Source organism: Homo sapiens, chromosome 15 (assembly GCF_000001405.40).
Source record: "Homo sapiens chromosome 15, GRCh38.p14 Primary Assembly".
Taxonomy (NCBI): Eukaryota; Metazoa; Chordata; class Mammalia; order Primates; family Hominidae; genus Homo; species Homo sapiens.
This window is the reverse complement of record NC_000015.10, coordinates 31,486,136-31,506,102: the sequence shown is the minus strand read 5'-3', so window position 1 is coordinate 31,506,102 and position 19,967 is coordinate 31,486,136. Positions and strand designations below refer to the sequence as shown.

Sequence of the window (19,967 nt, the reverse complement as noted above, 5' to 3'; positions counted from 1 at the left end):
TAAAATAAATAACCCTTTTTCTAAAATAATAAAACATTAATTCGATAAGTAAAAAAAAAAATTGTGGCCAGGCATGGTGGCTCACGTCTGTAATCCCAGCACTTTGGGAGGCCGAGGCAGGTGGATCACGAGGTCAGGAGATCAAGACCATCCTGGCTAACACGTCTCTACTAAAAATACAAAAAATTAGCCGGGCGTGGTGGCGGGCGCCTGTAGTCCCAGCTACCAGGGAGGCTGAGGCAGGAGAATGGCGTGAACCCGGGAGGTGGAGCTTGCAGTGAGCCGAGATCATGCCACTGCACTCCAGCCTGGGCGACAGAGTGAGACTCCACCTCAAAAAAAAAAAAAAAAAAATTAACTTCAATTCTCACCTTGTTCGCTCTTATTAATATACTTATAAGCTATTATGTTATTCCCTGCCTTCAAAATTTTATACAAAAACTTATCTCTACCACTCTTACAAAGTTAACTCCTAACTCTCCTCCACCCTATTCGAAAAATTACTTCTCTTAAAGCTATTAAAACAGACAAATTAAAAAAAAATTATAAGAGGGAGAATTGTAAAAAGTAAAATAGAGTTTTCTCTTCAAAGCCTTTCCTCCCCATCTAATTAAAAATAAATAGTAACTTCTCTTAGAAGCAAAATTTATTCAAAGACCTGTGCTAAGATTCTTAAATATCTGCTAGCCATAATAAAAAAATCAGTATACTTTATATTCTTAGCTCCCACAATTTAGCCTAAATATTTGCCCTAGCATACTTATACTAGTCCAAGAAAGCAGTAAGTCACATCCTGTTCCTCTTCCTTATTTAAAAGTATTTTTACCTTTCTCAACATTCCTTCCTTTATTCTCCTCTGCGTTTGCCTCTTTTAAAAAATTCAAAGTTACTAACCAATCAAAACAAATACAAAATGTAAAATCCCATTCCACCCAATAAAAACTGGACACAGCAATAAGGTGGACATGTCAGGTTATAAATAACCTTATCTCCTTTATTCAATATACTCTCATAACAAAACTGCGAGCAAGTATACCCTTTCTACAAAAAATATAAAAATAGCCTTACTAAAAAAATTTATATTCAAGTGCTATTTCTTTACACCACCAGAAAACAAACATTTCAAGCAGGTTGCATTGAGCTGAGATAACGCCACTGCACTCCAGGCTGGGTAACAAAGCAAGACTCTGTCTCAAAAAAAAAAAGGTAAATTGAGTCATAAGAAAAAGAAAAAACATGGGTAGTATGTAACCAAAATTCCACAGGTGATGGTAATGCATTCCCTAGGATTCACACCCTGCATTCTGGAAGTCCCAGGTGGCTGGGAACTGTGCCCATGAACCCATGAAGCTCTTTCCCCAGGCCATGCCAGGGGCCACATTTGCCAGCCCTGGCCCCACCTGCTGCCGTCAGCTAATTCTGAGCATTCCTCAAACACTCAGGAACAAGTCTGAGAGCCACCTCTGGGGAGTCTTGGCTGGTGCTGTCATCTCAGCTGGCAGGCACTGCAGGTGCAGCCGAGGCTCCATAACGCTGTGAGCTCTGGCTGTCCTCTCAACGTGCACCTCCCTTTTGGGTGGCCTTGCTATGGGGGGACATCGAGGCTGCCACCTTCTGCCCGAACGTCTTAGGGTTTGAGTGGAAGCATTCTTGAGCCTGCGGTTTCCCTGATCCTCAGACGTGAGCCTGGGCATGGTCAGGGAGGGTCTGGGCCACCTGGGCTGCACATTCACATCGCATCCCCTCCAGCTCTGGATTGAAATCCAGACAGCCTTCTCACTGTTCTCCTCCATTGGGGTGAGTGTCTTCTAGAAGGCTCCTCAGATCTTGGTGGTAATGACCCCACCAGCCCATCAGATGTGCCCAGGGAACCCCTGGGTCCCTGAGAGAAATAAACAGGAGAGGAACCCCTCCATCCCTCTGGCCCCCACTGCTTCCTTGTGAAACACCCCCAGAAAGCCAATAGCCCTGCTACCACAGGCTCTGGTGGGCTGCCTCCGCCTGCAGAGAGACTCGCCTTCACAGCGGCCGGCACCCTTCACCTGCGGGCTCTTTCCAACTCATCTTCTGAGACCGCTCCCACGGTGGGGTAGGGGAGCTGGGACCTGTGCATTTGCCATCGGCGGATGGCATGAGAAGTGGCCCAGGATGGCGCAGCTGCCGGGGTCCATGAAGATAATATCCAGAGTGGGGAGGGCTCAGCCCCTGCATGAAGCAGTCCCCACTTTCTCCATCCTCCACCCTGTTTTAGTCAGTGACCAGCTGGCTCTGTTTTGTTTCACAGTGTGGACAACTCTGAGGACCCCGTGTACGAGAGCCTGGAAGAGTTCCACGTTTTTGTCCTAGCCCATATATTAAGAAGGCCCATCGTTGTTGTGGCAGATACAATGTTAAGAGACTCAGGTGGAGAAGGTAAGTTCCTCAAAGAGATGTGTTGTATTCATGACACAGAAAGCATAGCATCCCAGCTAGAAAGCAGATAGCACAGCACAAGGTCGAGCTCCCAGAGGCCACAAAGCATCACTCTGTGCAAAGATCTCCTCGACGTGTTTCTTTCTCCTCCCTGATGGCAGCAGAGATTGTTCTTGACTAGCTGCCCTGCCTATCAACGGCAGGTGGCCAGGAGAAATCTGGTCATGTGAGGACCAGGACCAAGCCCAGAGGGGCTCCTGTCTCCTGTCGTGTGCCTAGGGCATAGCAGACAGCCCACACCCCTCCAACAGCCCTGGGCCATGTCCTGGAGGCACTCAGTCACTCAGGTGTGTTCCCACCCCTCCGCAGACCACATGTGTGTTAAAGACTAAAAAGAAAGGAAGACAGAATGCATAGAGTCATTTGGCAAAAGCTATGGTAGAATCAGAACTGGCAGAGAAAGAGGCAAGGGCAGTTTATGGCCTGCCCACCAAAAGCCACACTCTGTGCACAGCCCCTTCTAGAATGTTCCTCCATTCAGCCCTTGCTACAACCTCCCAGGGTGGACACCACCCTCCCCACTTTACAGAGATGAAACTGAAGCCCAGAGAGGCTAGGCAATGTCCCCAGCGGGGATCAGCCAAGGGCAGGGAGTGATCCAAAGCCTGTCCTCCCTCCAGCGTGCAGCTGCCCAGTTTGAATTTACACCTGCACCTTAACAAAAGTCATAGGTCTTCCAGGGAGCTCTACGAATCAGGATGTGGCTCTTCACGCTAAATCACAGCTGCCATAAAAAATCTGATGTGGCCACGATGGTTATGTAGCCAGGGAACTGGTAGGACACAGGTCCTGCCTGGCCCACCCCCTTCCCTGTGTGGCTCAGGGACGCGGGCCTGCTGAGGTCTGCAGGTCTCCGTGCAACACCAGGGCTTGCATCAGGGCACTGCTGCGTAAGCCCAGGACTGAGCTCCCAGCACCATCAGATCTCTGAGTTGCGGGGCAGAGGAAGGTCCACGCTTCCTACCATGCTACTCACAGCCCTCTTGCAGGTACCCCCACCCTGTCGCCTCTCAGTCTGACTCTCCTGTGAGCACAGTGATCAATTTAGACAAAGTGAGGATGGCGGAGGAACTCATAAGAGTTCATCAAAGACATCCCTGAAATTACCGTCCCTGAATTCTGCTCAAGGAGTGCAGCAATACACTCACTCTAGGGCCAAAAGTAAAGACGTTTCATGACCTCAAAGCAGATGCTGCTTTAGGACAGATATTTCCAGAAGTTATTCTATTTTGCTGAGGGTGTTAGGCTTTTCTGCCCTCTTTTTTTACAAGTAAGAAAATGAGTGAAATTGTGTCCCTGTCACTGAAGGACTTGATCCCTCTGATTCTCAGTTCCCATCTGACTTACATCTTGGTCCTGGAGCTCTCTGACTGGTTCCTTCAAATTCAATAGAAGAGGTTCTCAAAACATAGAGCAAATATACACCCTTGAGAAGCGCACATACTCTGTTGTATACAAATGCTTTACCAAACACTAGGAAAGGAAGAAGTACATCCAGAAAAAGGTGGGCTTCCAGGCTGCAACTGCTCTGACCAATCTCGGGTGACTGTCATCCCAGCCCTGGGGCTCCTGTACACCTGTGCAGGTCTCAGGGCAGCAGGAGTCCTGGGGCAGACAGATGACTCTGGAAACCCTCAGCCCCATCCCTCAGCACCGCCTCCATCCACCCCTCCTGTCCCTCCGCTTCTCCACGGAGTCCCCCCGGGGTAGTGAGGGACAGGGATGCAGGGGCCTCCCCTCCCAGCTCGAGCTGGCTGCTCCTCACACCCTCACCCTGGTTTGTGTCCACAGCGTTCGCACCCATCCCATTCGGAGGGATCTACCTGCCCTTGGAGGTCCCTCCCAACAGATGCCACTGCTCGCCTCTGGTTCTGGCCTATGATCAAGCCCATTTCTCTGCCCTTGTGTCCATGGAACAGAGAGACCAGCAAAGAGAACAAGGTATGCCTGTCTCCCAAGAGAGTGCACGCAGGAGCCTAGGGTGGGGGCAGAGCCATCAGAAGGGACCCCATTGCACGGGGAGGTGGATTGTGGAGACCCCCCCTTAGAAGCACACCTGTGCACACTCAGCAGTGACAGTTTTTGCATAAAGCTACCTTATGCATGTGTGAACGTTTTCATTGAAAATAACAATGTTAAAGACAACATTCTCTTTAAAATACTAAACAAAGGCAACCTACCCTTAAATAGCTTTTACTGTTTTCCCTTTCACATGTATACATATTTTATAGGAATGCAATTAGTCTTAGATATAAATTAAAGGGAAAAAAACTTCAAAAGCAAGTATTAATGAACTATGGCCCACCACCCATTTTATAAATAAAGTTTTATTGGAACAGAGCCACATTCATTCACAGATGCATCATCTGTGGCCGTTTTTGCACTACAGTGGTAGAGAGAGGAGCAGCCACAGACACCAAGGCCTGCAGCGCCTAAAATATTTACTTACTAATTAGCTATTTATGGGAAGAGTTTGCTCACCCCTGCTCCAGGGTAAGCTTTTAACTCAAAAGGTCAACATTTCCTTTCAAAGCATTGCAGCTGAGTTTCCTCTAAGCAGCCATTTCAGTGCTGCTGATGTTGGGCCAGCCCACAGGCTGTGCACTGCACAATTCCAGGGCACCAGTCAATGTCTTTACTGGGGAAATAGGGGGATTTTGTTTGGAACAATTGCTGTTTTCTCATGTTAGCTACTGATGGATGTGTGACCAGCTGAGTGGAGAGGAAACCCCTTCCTGTTGTCATTCTTGTTTGTAGTATAGGCAGAGACTCACTCCCCCAGGGGACAGACGGACAGGCAAGACCAACTATTTCAGAGTCCCTGCCATTAGGTATGGTCCCAGAGAATGGGAAGTGCCCTGTCCAGGGCCAACAGGGGGAAGGAAGCTCAGGGGTGTCTGCTTCTGACCTTTTCCACTGAGTGTGCAGCTCAGGAAGTAAATATAGCAACAAGATTGCACCCCTAGGACTCCCAAATGCTACTCCTTCCTGTAGACAGCTGGGAAGGAAAGGACACAGACAAATGAACAGAACCCAGCCTCCCCCAGCCCTCCGCCAGAGGCGGCACCAGCGTGTCACTTCCTGGCCTGGCAGTTGAGTCGGGAATGAGGCTGGGGCTGTGGAGCAGAAGCTGAAGGTGAGAAATGCACAGGGCATTTGAGACCCCTTCCCAAGAGCAGATGCAGAGCTCCCAGGAGCTGACATGCGTGGTGCAGCCGCAGAACCCAAGTCACAGGAAGAGAGACGACTGGAGGCTACAGCCGGCCGTGACAAGAATGTCACATCATGGTTCTTTATTATTTGCAGATGTGGCACTGGCCACAGAAGGAAAGATTTAATCAGTAAGGCCTCGGAGGTGCTCCGGTCTTTCCATTGTCTCCCCACTTTCAATCCGGAATGCGGAATGCCTGCACCTCCTTCCCGGGGATTTAGCTCTTCGTAGGGCTGACCCCGCCTCTTGGGAGACCAGAAGGGCCTTTTCAGGACCTGGGATCGGCCAGGGGCGGGGCCCTCTGTCCAGTCCCCAGGGAGATTCTGTGGTCAGAAGGTGATGGTCCCAAGGCCAGCGTCTCCCAGTTCCGAGCATGGGGTTCAGATACCCGACCCCCTCCTCGCAAAAGGCACCGAGTACTCTTCCAGGCCTTCCAGATACTGCTGCTTGGTGTTTTCAAGGCACATATGAAAGCATCCTCCCTTCAAAGGATGCCCATGGAGGGCGCTGTGGCTTGGGACCTTTCAGGAGGGCCTTGCAGAGTTGTGGGTGGTTTCACTTCTGATGACCTGGTTTCTAAAAACTGGGATCTGGTCCCAGTGCACCTCTCAGAGCCACTGTGGTGTGGGTCTTTGGCTCCCTCACAGTCAAAGCAGCCCACTGGGATCCTCCTGGGGCGATGCAGGTCCCTGCCTCTAAGACCATCCTGTGGCCAGGCTGCACATTCACCCATAAGGTCCCCACGACCCACTGCAGGGCAGGTGCCATGGCCACGCTCTTTGTCACCTGCACCCTTGTGCCCCCTTAGACCTTCACCTCTGCAGCCTTCCCTCTGTGCCTCAAAGGACACTGTGGGGACGGGACAGAGTCCCAGCTGTGCTCTCAAGTCACACGACATCTCAGCAGAGAGGGACGTGGAAATCACAGTGAGGCTGCAGCTTCCAGGATGAGCTGCAGACTCAGGCCTGCTGGAGTGAGCTGGCCAGACCGCAAAGTCGCAGGACCTGGTGGGAGGCAGGAGATGGGAGACTCCAGAATATCGAGCCCCAGGATGCCACCGGCCCCCACTGTGAAGCACAGGTGTCACCCTCTGCCATGGTACCCTGTCCGTCCTATAAACAGCACCCTGTGACAGAGGCTAATAGATACAATAATCACAAGCCCCAGGAAGAGCAGACACCGCATCCTTGTGCCTGCGGAACGATGCTTTGAGAGCCTGGAAATGAGATAAAAAATGTATTTCAGGCTGAGACAAGGCTCCCTTCTTCCCACCACCCACTTCCTCCTCCTCTGTTTACATGCCCCATCATGTCTCATCCACATGTGTCCAGCTCCTGGAGGCTTAAAAATCCATGAAGCATTCTTTAAACTTCTCATCGAGTGCCTCTCCCTCTAAGGGAAGCCCCCTCTTATAGGTGCTACTGCCGTGGCCCGGCTACTGCTGATGCCGCCACTGACCATCTTCAAGTTCAGGAATCCTCCCATTTCCCAGGCTAGGCATGCAACATGGGGAGAGGGAAGGGCTTGAGGTGGAAGGTCAGGAGCTGGTGGGACTGGTCAGCTATGGGCAACCTCAGTGGCCCAGGCTTTGCAAATTTATCTTAGGACTTTTTAGATAAAATGTATGCATTCTTTCTTGGTAGCTTCCACACATGATGGTCACCTGCTTTCTCCTGGGGAGGACATTAGTCATTTGCTCCCTGACAACCTGAGCCTTGGGCCTTCAGCTTTTTGCAGGAAGCAGCCTCCTTGCAGCCACATCTTAAAATGGCCTGCAGGGGAGCTCTGTGAAACCCAGATCTGGGCATTCTCTCAGCACCCAGCTCAGGTCAGTTCCTACTGGCCACTGAGCAAATGTGTACATTATGAAAAATCAAATCAATTAACAGGAGAAGCAGAGGTGCCGCATAGTTCCTGGAAACATAGAACCTAGGAAAGAACTTTGGAATCATCCAGTGCAACAATCCCAACTCCCCTCCTTTTATAGCAAACATTGTCCAGTGTACTCTTCATTACCCTGAAATGAAATTCATGGATAATGTTACCTGTGTTGGAATAAAGTCCATTTAGTACCCCCACATCAGGAGAAATCAAAGGAAACCAATGTAATAAAATAATCTGCATTTCTGTAAATATTCTCACACAGCCATACTGCAAAACTCAATGAAGCAATCAGATCCTGGCACCCATATGTGGGGTGCCCAGTTACACAGAGAGGGGACACAGGTGTGCTGAGCATACCCTCAAATACCCCAGGAGGCTCTACAGTCCAAAATGGCAGCTAACTCTTGGTAAAGTCCCAAACAAGCCAAGCACAGCCTTGCCCATCTCCACAGCTCCTCTTCCCTTTGGGTGGATATAGAGCCGTGCAGAGCATACCCATGTGTACATGTTAGCTCTCGGCCTGGCCAGCAGGTTGCACTGGGAAGGGCTGGGTGCATACAGGTGCTGCCTAGGTCTGCACCCCACCTTCATGCTCATATATTTGCAGGTGCTTCCTGTGCTCAAGGGCTGTTCTAGGTCCTTTCCAGGAATACCTATTTAACCCTTCCCATTTCCTCTTCCCCACTTTACAGAGGGGGAAATTGAGAAAGGAGGAACCATCCCCAGGGAATAGTTGCAGCCAGTGAAGGGTTGGGAGGGTGGATGGCGAGGCTTCCACAAAGACTTGGCCCAAGAGAGTGGCATCTCCAAGAGAAGAGGCTCAGGAAGTGGTACCCCAAGTCAAAGCCTGCTTGGGATAAGATAGCGTCTCAGACCCAGGACTCAGGAACCTTCAGGGTCGAAGAGGGTAGGGAGGGGGTGCTTTGTTTCATGGAAGGTGTCAATGCCATCTGTGGCTATTCTTTTCTTAAAAATTAATATTTATTGGCCAGGCACAGTGGCTCACACCTGTAATCTCAGCACTTTGGGAGGCCGAGGTGGGTGGGTTGCCTGAGCTCAGGAGTTCAAGACCAGTCTGGGCAACATGGTGAAACCCCATCTCTACTAAAATATAAAAAATTATCTGGGCATGGCAGCATGTGCCTGTAATCCCAGCTACTCAGGAGGCTGTGACAGGAGAATCTCTTGAACCTGGGAGGTGGAGGTTGCAGTGAGCCAAGCTTGCGTCACTGCACTCCAACCTGGATGACAGAGTGAGACTTCATCTCAAAAAAAAAAAAATTAACATATAAGTCAATTATTTAAATAGTTTTTCCCTCATATATACAAACAGCCTGTGAGCCTCTGAGGCATATCCAGGGGCCACACAGAGGTCAGGGCACCCTCAGTGTGTCCTCAGTGCCTTCCCCCAAGGGTCCCACTTAAGGAACCTAGAGAGCAGCACACAGGAGCCCTGAGGGAGTCCACTGGTTACAGATGGAGGGGGAGATGCTGGTGTGAACAGAGAGCTCTGAAACGGCTGCAGACTGCAAGGATCGAGGCTTACAGATGATCACACCAAGGTTGGCCATCCCTTTATTGGGAACAGAGACTCAACACATTCAAAATGTGATACTTGAAAAAAAAAAAGTTTTTGCAAAGAGCAGCTTACCAATTTGTCTCTTGCTGCTTAGAAACAACACAGCAAGTTTATAAGTGTCTGCTAGGGATCTTGGGAGCCAAACAGAGTACTTCTACCCACCGGGCCATGGAAGCAGCCTTCCATCTGTATTTGATGTATGGCTCGTGGTTAAATCAAATGCTCACCTATGCTCTACTATTCCCCAAGCCACACGGAATGTAACATTCCAGTTTTCAATATGTTTGACAATGAACCATGCTTTTTCTTGCAGGATTAATTTATAATAAACAGATCCAATCTCTTTTTAAATAGAAATGTATCTTTACATGTTACAAGTATCATTACATATTCTGCTCAACTTGATTTTAAAATTGTGTTAAAGAATCATTTATCGGCGGGGCGCGGTGGCTCATGCCTGTAATCCCAGCACATTGGGAGGCTGAGGCAGGCGGATCACGAGGTCAGGAGATCAAGACCATCCTGGCTAACATGGTGAAACCCCGTCTCTACTAAAAAATACAAAAAATTAACTGGGCATGGTGGCAGGTGCCTGTAGTCCCAGCTACGCAGGAGGCTGAGGCAGGAGAATGGCATGAACCAGGGAGGCAGAGCTTGCAGTGAGCCAAGATCGTGCCACTGCACTCCAGCCTGGGCGACAGAGCGAGACTCCATCTCAAAAAAAAAAAAAATCATTTATCAAATACCAATCAAATTGGTCTATTTGTGTACCTATCTGAATAAAATAATGGAGGAAGTATGTAATGCCTATTACAAGACATTACGGTAAGAATCAGCTTAGTTCATGGTGGCAAGAAAGTTTTTTTTTTTGAAACTTTTTTTTTTTTTTTTGAGATGGGGTTTCATTCTGTCACCCAGGCTGGAGTACAGTGCCATGATCTTGGCTCATTGCAACCTCCACCTCCCAGGCTCAACAGATCCTCCCATCTCAGCCTCCCGAGTAGGTGGGACTACAGGCACATGCCACAAGCCCAGCTAACTTTCTGTACTTTTGGTACAGACGGTGTTTCTCCATGTTGCCCAGGCTGGTCTCAAACTCCTGAGCTCAAGTGATCTGTCCACCTCAGCCTCCCAAAGTACTGGGATTACAGGTGTGAGCCACTACGCCCGGCCAGCAAGAAGGTTTTGGAAACCAGAAGTGCCCCCAAACTGAATTACGTTTGTAATTAGTCTCCCTTCTCTTGGCTACTTTCTAAGTTTGTCAGTTGCCACTGAAAGATAGGGTCAGAGTGGGAGTAAAAAGCACAGCTACGCCTACCCTTGTGGTGTGTGGCCAGTCTCACTGGGCCATATTTCTTTGCCACTCCTCTCAGGAGCCCCAGAGCACAGAACCCTGAAGAACCTTTGTCTGCAAAGGCCCCTGGCTAAGGGGTGAGAGGCCGAGGAGCTGGGGTTGGGGGCATCCAGACTTTTAGCTGAGACCTTTGTTTCTCAAGTCTGTCATCTTTGACACTGTTGACCTACAGATCACAAAGCACCATGAGGTGGCCAGGAGCTATGGAAGGGACTTCATGGCTATGGAGCTCTGTCTTCAGCTTATAGAGTGGGCAGGTGCCCAGAGAGCTGAGTAACGCTGATTAAAAGCACGAGGTGTGTTTATCCACAATACATCTGCTGATTGGTTCATGCCCTACCCCAATGACCATCAACTCAGGGACCCAAAGCACTGTTCCAAAGGGATGCCAGCCACAGTTAACTCCACGGAAAGAACTGGCTGAGGGTTTTTCAGTCATGCCTGAAGGCCTGGAGAGAAGAGAAAGCAAGAGTGCACCCAGATGCCAGCCTCCCCTCAGGAGCCCTGCCTGTCCCCTCCTGAGCTACAAATTAGGCACAGACACCTGGATCCCCCACCAGACCTCCCCAAGACGTCCATGCCCACAGGAAGCGCATACCAGCCACCATCGCCCCTGATTCCCAAATGAGGGCCCCAGCCATCTCTGTGTGATGTGCAGTTTCCTCCATCTGGCCACTCCAGGCTCCTGAGGACTCCATGCTCCCATGCATGGTACTGGAGTGAGAACATGTGCTCCAACAAAACCGCTTCTGAGAGGGGCTGGGAGGCAGCAGCACCAGCCACCTGTCCTACCTGCAGGACAGGAGCAGCCAGCACTCACTGCCCTGGATGTGGGGAGTGAGTTTTTGGTGGGCCAGGGTGACATCCTGGTTCTGCTCTCTGAGGAGACCCCAGTTGTCATTGTCCCACAGGGCCACATCTGATGTGTGCACAGAGTGCACCCTCTGGGGCTGAGAGCTTCACCACCCACTTTTGGCATGAGTTCAGGAGCCCAGAAATTGTGTTAGATGCTGAACGCTCTCTCAGCCTGAGAGTTTTTTCAGCAGTACAGTTTCCTTAATTCTGGTCAGCACTTTTTCCAGTTTTGTCTTAGTCAATTCAGGCTGCTGCCACAGAATACCATAGACTGGGTGGCTTATAAACAATAGAAATTTATTTCTGATAGTTCTGGAAGCTGGGAATACAAGATCCAGGAGCCAGCAGATTTGGAGTCTGGTAAGGGTGTCCTCCTCCTGGTCTACACACAGCCACTTTTTACTGTGTCCTCACGTGGCCAAGAGAGAGAAAGAAGAGCGCTCTCGTGCCTGTTGTTATAAAGGCACTAATCCCATTCTCAAGGACTCCATCCTCATGCCTTAATCACCTCCCAAAGACCACACTTCTAATACTCTTACATGGAGACTAAGCTTTAACAGTGAATGTTGGAGGAACACAAATATTCAGTCAATAGCAAGCTTAGTCTATAGACCAATGACCAATCCAAATATCTTATCTACATATAAACTTTAGGCCAGAGAATGTATGTCTGCCACCATTGGCCCTGATGCCCCAGCCTAGGGGCCCGATCCTCAGGGGCTGGCCTTGGCCTCACGTACAGGCTATCATTACTTCCCTCCTCCCTCTCTGCTTTGAGTTTAATTTGCTACCCCTTTTCTAGTTTCTTAAGGCAGAAATTTTGATTACTAATTTGAGACTGTTTTCTCATCTAATATGAGCATTTTAATGCTATAACTTTTCCCCTAAGTACTGCTGTAACTACACCATACAAATTTTGATGTGCTATATTTGCATTTTCATTCCGTTCAAACTATTCGTTAATTTCCCATGAGACTTCCTCTGACTTATGGATTATTTAGAAACAGGCTGTTTGAGTTTCAAGTTTTGGGGGATTGTTCAAATATTCGTTACTGGTTTATAGTTTCAGTTATGACATGAGCACAAACATCATGATTTCTGTTCTTTTTAATGCACTCAGACTGGCTAAGAATATGTTCTGTGTTGGTGAATATTCCATATGTATTTGAAAATAATATATACTCTGCTCTTGTTAGGTTCTAGAAATGTCAATTACCTCAAATTCTCTGAGAGTGCAGCTCAGTTCTTCTATATCCTTACTGGTTTCTGCCTACTTGCTCTGTCAGTTACTGAGCAAAAAGTAGCAAAGTCTGCAGCTGTAATACATTTGTTTATTTCTCTCATTTTTGTTAGTATTTGCTTCATGTACTTTGAAGCTATGTTGTTAGCATGCATACACATAGGATGATTATGGCTTCTTGGAAAATTGACCCCTTTAGCATTATGTAATGTTCCTCTTTTTCTTTGGTAACAGTCCATGTTGTGGAGCCTACTTTGACATAAATATGGCTACTCTAGCTCTCTTTCCATTAGTGAATATCTTTTAACCTCCATATGTCTTTATATTTAAAATGGGATTCTTTTTCTTTTTTTTTTTTCCTACAACCTCAACCTCTCAGGTTCAAGCAATTCTCCTGCCTCAGCCTCCCGAGTAGCTAGGATTACAGGCACACACTATCATGCCCAGCTAATTTTTGTATTTTTAGTAGAGACAGGGTTTCATCATGTTGGCCAGGCTGGTCTCGAACCCCTGACCTCAAGTGATCCACCCATCTCAGCCTCCCAAAGTGCTGGGCATGAGCCACAGTGCCTGGCCCTTACAATGAGATTCTTGTAGACAGCATATATGTGGGTTTTGCTTTTTCATCCAGTCTGACAATTTTATCTTTTAAAAGATACGTTTTGACCATTTTCATTTAATAGTATTAATGATATGTTTGGATTAAAATCCACCATCTTGCTACCTGTTTTCTATGTACTGTATGAGTTCTTTTTTCCTTTTGTTTCTCTTTTGCTATCTTATCTTGGGTAAATTGAGCTTTTTAATGGTTCCGTTTTATTTCCACTATGGACCTGTTATACCCCTATTTTTAATTGTTAGTGGTTTCCCTAGGGTTTGCAATAAACATCTTTAATTAATGAGATTTGTTTTTTTTTTTTTTTTTGAGACAGAGTCTCACTCTGTCACTCAGGCTGGAGTGCAGTGGCATGATCTTGCAGGCTCTCACTGCAGCCTCCGCCTCCTGGGTTCAAGCGATTCTCCTGCCTCTGCCTCCAGAGTAGCTGGATTACAGGCACACAGCACCATGCCCAGCTAATTTTTGTATTTTTAGTAGAGATGGGGTTTCACCATGTTGGCCAGGCTGATCTTGAACTCCTGACCTCAAGTGATCCAACCACCTTGGCCTCCCAAAGTGTTGGAATTACAGGTGTGAGCCACCACACCTGGTCTAATTAATGAGATTCTATTTTAAGTAATATTACTTGACTTCACATGTTGTATAAGGATATTACAACAGTGTATTACCAATCCCTCCCTCCCATTCTTTGCTATTATCAGACATTTTATTTTTACATCTGTTATAAATTCATAATGCACTGCTGCCCTTTGCTTTAGACAGTTATCTGTTAGAGCAATTAAAAAGAAGAAAAAAATGAATTTTCACATCCATTTATTCCATTTCCATCACTCTTAATTGTGTAAATACAAGTTTCTACTGGTACCATATTTCTTGCACTTTAACATCTCCTGTAGTTCAGGTCTGCTGGCAATGATTTGCTCACTTTTATTTGAAAAACTCTTTATGTCTTCTTCATGTTTCAGAGATATTTTGGCTGGGTATAGAATTCTAGATTAACAGTTTTTTTTTTTCTTTCAGCACTTTAAAAATGTCACTCCATTATCTTCTGGCTTACCTGTTTTACCATGAAAAGTCTGTTGTAATTTGTACCTTTGTTTTTCTCTGTATAATGTATCCTCTTTTTTCTCTGGCTGCCTTCAAGACTTTCTTTTTGTCTTTGGGTTTCAGAAGTGTTAAGAGGCTATTATAGGAATATTTGTGGTGGTGTTACTTTTTCTTCTTGATGTTCTCTTAGTTTCTTAGATCTGTGTTGATGGTTGTCATTAATTTTGAAAAATTCTTAGCCATTATTTCTTTAAAATTTTATTTTGCATTGTTCTTTCCCTCTTCTGGGATTTCATTTACACAGAACTTAAGGTGCTGATATTGTCACACAGCTCTTAGATGCTGTGTTCAGTTTCCCACCTCCTTTTTTTCTGTTTCAGTTTGTGTCATTTCTAGTAACCTATCTTGAGGTTTACAGATCAGATTCTTTGCTCAGCTATATCAAGTCAACTGACCAGCCCCTCAAAATCATTCTTCACCTCTATTATGGTGTTTTTCATTTCTAGCATTTTCATTTCTTTCTCATAGATTTGTTCTGTATGCTGAAATTAACCATCAAATCTTGCATGGTATCTGGCTTTTCTATTAGTCCTTAACTTATTAATCAGTTATTTTTAATTCCTTGTCTGATAGTTTCAACACCTGTGTCATATCTGAGTCTTGTTCTATAAACTGCTTTGTCTTTTATCAATGTGTTGGGTTTTTTTTTTTATCTTTCCTTTCGCCTCATAGGTTTTTTGTTGTCGTTGCTGAAAGCCAGGCATCTTGAGTAGGACAGTAAAGACTGCAGTAAATCACTTTTATTCCTGGAAAGAAGCATGCCTTTCCTTTTGCTAGGTTTTCAGAGTCTAGGTTTGGACCAGTCTAGTTATGATAGCCCAGGAAGGTCACCCCCATCCCCAGATCCAGGGATACAGTGCCTGCCTAAGACAGATGCTTAATCAGAGTAACAGAAGATGACCCTTAGTGCACCCAGTGTTTGTTGCCCTACACTCTGCAGTTTAAGCTTTTATTCCTTGGTAGAGGTAGGATGGAAATATCTATGGAGACACTCTCTTAGAACTCCTGCCAGTCTTTTTTGGGAGAACCAGGTAGGTCCTGTGGAGAGGAGCCTGCAGGTGCATGTGAATTTCCTTTATATCTTCAGCCCCCAGGGTTCCATATTATTTCACTAGCTGATACTGTTCCTTTACCAATTTAACCATTTTAGCTGAATGATTCTTACTGGGGTCCAGCTGAATTGGCCCTTCTTAAGCTCATGTCTGTCTCTCCTTGGAGGCACCTGTCTTTCCTTAGATATTGGATAAGTCGGTTTCCCTGTGACTTCAGCTGTCTGGTGGGTTAAAGATAAGTTGTGAATTTGCAGTTTGACTGGAATGTTTTCATGGTGGAACAATGCTCTTCCAGCTTTTCACATCGGAGACAAAAACCAGAAATCTTGATTTTTTTTTAGAAAATAAGTACTCAGAATATATTCAGGCTAGCATGAGATGATGCCTATATGTTTCCAGGCTAAAAGACATACAAGAGGCCTTTCAAAAACAAAAACAAAACACCTTTCCGGCCTTTTTAGGCTCATTTTGAAAAGCAGTTGCTGTTCTAGACATTTACCACCAGAGGGCAAGCCGCTGCATGGCTGCTCCTCACTGGTAAAGCCAGGTTTCCAATAGGGAAATGTCAGGGTGTACAGTTGAGAAGCAGAGGCATCCTGAGCAGCCGCTGCTCACGAGGAGGACCTGTTTTCATGGCCTCCTGGCCGGAACTGTCCCTGGGCTCTGCAGCCCCAGCCCTCACCACAGGCCGCAGTTGACCCTCTGCAGAAAAGCCTTCCTTTGAGCCCCTCGGTGTCTTCAGTTGTGAGCAGGCATGTCCGTAGAGCCTCTCAGTACCTGGCCCTTCACCCCAGCCAGATCTAGGCCGCAAGGCTGCTGGACCCTTCTAGGTGGACAGGCACTAGCCCCTTCAGGGGTATTCCCACCGTGCACTGGAGCCCTGGGCAGCCCAAGGAGTCCATTCCAGCCCTGCTGTTGAGGGGAGGAGTCCCCAGGAACCCCATGATAGGGAAGTGAGGGTGACTGTCTGGGGTGCCGTCTTAGCTTAGGTGGTTTATCTGAAACAAACAAACCAAAATCACAGTGACTTAACACAGTGGAAATCTAAAAGGAGTGTTCTCAATTGTCAGGCAGCTCTTCAGTGGAGATCTGCTGTCTTCTGCAGGCACCATGGAAGGGGAGTGGGGAGAGACACCCCCATGCCTGAGCACATCACCCAGCACTTCCCACATTGCTTCTGCCCACAGACCATGGATGCCACTAGGTGCCTGTTCCCCCTAAATCCTGGGGCCGGGGTGGCTAAGACATGGAGTGGTGGCTGGGCTGATGTTCTCCAACAGCAATTCTACCCTGGGAAGCGGGTGGACAGCCAGACCCAAAATGTCCAAGTTGCACCCACAGGAACTGCTTCTAACAGATTATTCTTGTTCTAGAACAATATTTCCTGAATTTGCTTGATTTTAAAAGCCACAGGAGATGCTTATTTAAAATGTTGCTTTTTGAGTCCCTTTCCTGGACACTTTGGTTTGGCCCATCCATTCATGGGGGCTTGGAACTCCCAGGAGCTGCACTGCTCTATTCTGGGAAACATTGTGGATGGGGAGAGCCTGTGCCACCCCCTGCCCCATGAGTAAGAAGCGAGGCTAACCCCTTCTCTGTTTGTGTAGTGACTCATAGAACTATGGGACAGGCTGCTGGGCACCACCCAAGGGAGACCTGTCCCTGAGCCAGCCCTGCAGCCCTCCCTGGGTGTGTCTGCCCTGCAGCTCAGATCTGGAAAGGGTGGCCACGTCAAGGCAGAACCCAGCAGGCTGCAGCAAAGCCAGGCCAAGCCACCCCTGACCTCTCAAATCAGAGCACTGCACTTTCCAATCCCAAGCCAGATTAATGAAAAGCCCGGAGCTGGTCATTGGTCAGCAAAGCTGCATTTCCCTTATTGGCAGCTTGGGGAAGCTGGAGAAGAAGAGGTGCGGGGGTGGAGAGGGGAATTATTTGCACCCACTTTTCCTCTTAAGCAACACTGGAGGGCAGCATTGAGTCAGTTTTTCCAATTTCTTACCAAATCAACTATTGGTGTTCAGTCTTCGATTTGATCTATTTCCTTGCCTTTTTGTTCTTGCCATGGCACCCTTGCCATGAACCATGGGCACCAGCAAAGAGGCAAAGCAGCTGGTCCAAGGTGGCTGTGCTTCTCTGCTGTGTGTGACTCCCAGGTGTGGGGCCTGCAGGGGAGCTAAGTGGAGCCCATGGAGGAGGCTGCTGCTTGTTGCGAGGAAAGACTTGGGGAGACCATCTCCCAGTTCCTCCTGCCCTTGTCCCTGACAATGCCCTTGGGAGGAGTCAACCGTGTCACTAGGCACTCCTCTCATCAGGTCCCCCAGCAGCTCAGAAGCTCCTAGAAGATCCCAAACCTGTAGATACCCCCTCCACCCTAGCCCTTCTGGAGTGAGCCAGGATTTCCCACGGGTGGTGAGTTTCACCACAGAAGTTTTGTGATGAGTCAATCCCTCTGAGAAATGACCAGCCAGTGGCTCATCACTGCAATCTCCACCTACATGTGACCTCCTCAAAAGGACCCCCTGACCCCATCCGAAAAAGGCTTCACCATCACTGCCTTCTGCCTGGTGTTTACCCTTCCAGGGCTCATCACCACCTGACATTATGAGATGTTTGTTAACCTGCTTATCTGTCCCCAGCACAGGTGAGCTTCCCACGGGCAGGGGCGGGTGGGTCCATGGGTCCCAGGCACTGATACAGACTTGTGGCACAAAATTACAAACCAGTAGAGGTCAGCAACACCCTTGCTCACCTGACTTGCACATTCGGCCCTTCTCTGGGACGAGACAGGAGAGCTGAGCCCCAGGCCCACCTGCAAGGTGGCCTCCCAAAGTGTGCCTAACCTGCCTAGATCCTTCCTAGAAATAGCAGAGGCAGCAATAGCTTTTTTCCCATTCTGCTGCCCAATGGAGTATCTGCCATTGGACAGACCCAAAGAGAGCCAGGGTCCAGGTGACGCTTCCAACTGCTCTCCACTGTCCGCAATAAATACGAAATTTTAAAAACTAGCAATAGTGGTTTTGGTCTTCATGCTCCTGCTGGCACAGATCTGTGTAGATGTCCACTCGGTGCATTTGTCACCCAGATACCTGGCTTGGGAATTTCCTTGCCATCCTGCCTGGGGACTGCCGGGGCTCCAAGCACGGCTCTGTCTCTTCTGTTCCAGCCGTGATCCCCCTGACGGATTCTGAGCACAAGCTGCTGCCTCTGCACTTTGCAGTGGACCCTGGCAAGGACTGGGAGTGGGGGAAAGACGACAACGATAACGCCCGGCTGGCCCAGTAAGATCCTACTCTGTCCCTTTCCCCAGCGCCCACAGGGAGGGCTATGGCTGGGGCATCCTGGGGAGGGAATGTACCACCCCTGCTCCTCCTGGGACAGCTGGCATGCAAGTGGACTGGGTGCTATAAGGGCCAGCTCAGACCATTTCAATAGGATATTCTTCTCTTGCCAGCCTTATCCTGTCGCTAGAAGCCAAGCTGAACCTTCTGCACAGCTACATGAACGTGACGTGGATCCGGATCCCCTCCGAGACACGGGTGAGCCTGGCTGTGCTGGGACCAGACCTGGCAGCAGGGTCCAGGCTGCTCAGCTCCAGTCTGACCAGGGTGCATCCTCCCAAATGCTCCCACACTCTTGCCTGCCCCTGCCCGGCCGCCCACCCCAGCCATACCCACAGCCCAGTAGCTCCTCCACCTCCTTTGACCTAGCCATCCCAGCTGCATGCAGCTGGGGCCACCCTGGCTATGGCTTGAAGTGGCTCTGGCTGGACCTAGTGGCTGTGTACACACATGTAGGCATGTGTGCATGCAAGCATGCGCTCTTGTAAAGGGATTTTTTGTCCCCCTATTTTCTGCAGAAGGAATCAACACGCCCACTCAGAAAACAAGCCACAGGCAAGTCACAACACAAAACTATCTGCTAAGATCAGAACACAATGTGCTGCCGCAGAGCGGAATTAATTACAAACCGTGTGGGTCCTCAAAAAAAGCCAGGGAACTGAGAGCGCGATTCCTCGGCGCCCCCTTCCTCCCCTCCCAGAGGCAGCACACTGGTGGGTGGAGCTGGCAGGAAGGTGAGGAGAGGGGCCTACGCCCCATGAGGCTGCCTGCCTCCAGAGGGTCCGGGGCTGCCCCTGCTTGCAAACGCTGAGGGATTCATTTTAAGCATCTGACTGATTGATGTTTTTTGAAATCTCAGTAGTGAACTGCCAGGGAAAAGGATTTGTAAAAAACAGCCTGCAAGTAATTGGTCCTCTCCAGACATTTACTTAAAGTGGGGCTCACAAAGAATTAGTAAAGGAGTGGCATGAGTCAAGGAGTCGGGCGGTGGCCAGCACTGCTCAGTGCTCTCAGACTCCAGCCTCTGCCTGTACGTCATCTCCCAGGGCTCCATGAGGCAGGGACTGATACCCCATTTTACTGATGGCATAAGTGACAGCCAGTCGGTGGCAGTTTGAGTCCTGCGTCTCAAAGGCCTGGAGCACTCCCGTAGTGCTGTGGCTGTTCTTCTTCAGCACCCACATGGGGAGTGATGGCAGTGGCTCGAGATGTAGAATCAGGAGGCTCTCGGGCTGAGAATAGCTCTGCCTGCAATT

The 19,967-nt window shown here is 48.5% G+C and overlaps 1 protein-coding gene across 3 annotated transcripts in view, besides 2 other annotated features; it reads left to right on the top strand.

Annotated features, from left to right (window-relative positions):
- OTUD7A (OTU deubiquitinase 7A) overlaps positions 1-19,967 on the top strand; it is a 395,276-nt gene that overhangs the window by 364,571 nt on the left and 10,738 nt on the right. For 2 of the 3 annotated variants that reach the window (NM_001382637.1, NM_130901.3), the window contains 4 exons: positions 2,285-2,412; positions 4,264-4,413; positions 18,537-18,651; positions 18,825-18,909. In NM_001382637.1, coding sequence (NP_001369566.1) covers positions 2,285-2,412; positions 4,264-4,413; positions 18,537-18,651; positions 18,825-18,909 — 478 coding nt within the window. Of the gene's footprint in view, positions 1-2,284; positions 2,413-4,263; positions 4,695-18,536; positions 18,652-18,824; positions 18,910-19,967 lie in introns of those variants that run through there. The other variant, NM_001329907.2, reaches the window with a different exon arrangement.
- Positions 15,639-16,288: an enhancer, noted in NCBI's record as "H3K27ac-H3K4me1 hESC enhancer chr15:31782018-31782667 (GRCh37/hg19 assembly coordinates)". NCBI's record gives its function as "activates a minimal SCP1, AML or CMV promoter by ChIP-STARR-seq in primed H9 embryonic stem cells {active_cell/tissue: H9 hESC(primed)}" and the evidence as "EXISTENCE:reporter gene assay evidence [ECO:0000049][PMID:30033119]".
- Positions 15,983-16,133: a silencer, noted in NCBI's record as "fragment chr15:31782173-31782323 (GRCh37/hg19 assembly coordinates)". NCBI's record gives its function as "represses an EF-1alpha promoter that drives an FKBP-Casp9 reporter gene in an ReSE screen in phorbol 12-myristate 13-acetate-treated (for megakaryocytic differentiation) K562 erythroleukemia cells {active_cell/tissue: K562(+PMA)}" and the evidence as "EXISTENCE:reporter gene assay evidence [ECO:0000049][PMID:32094911]".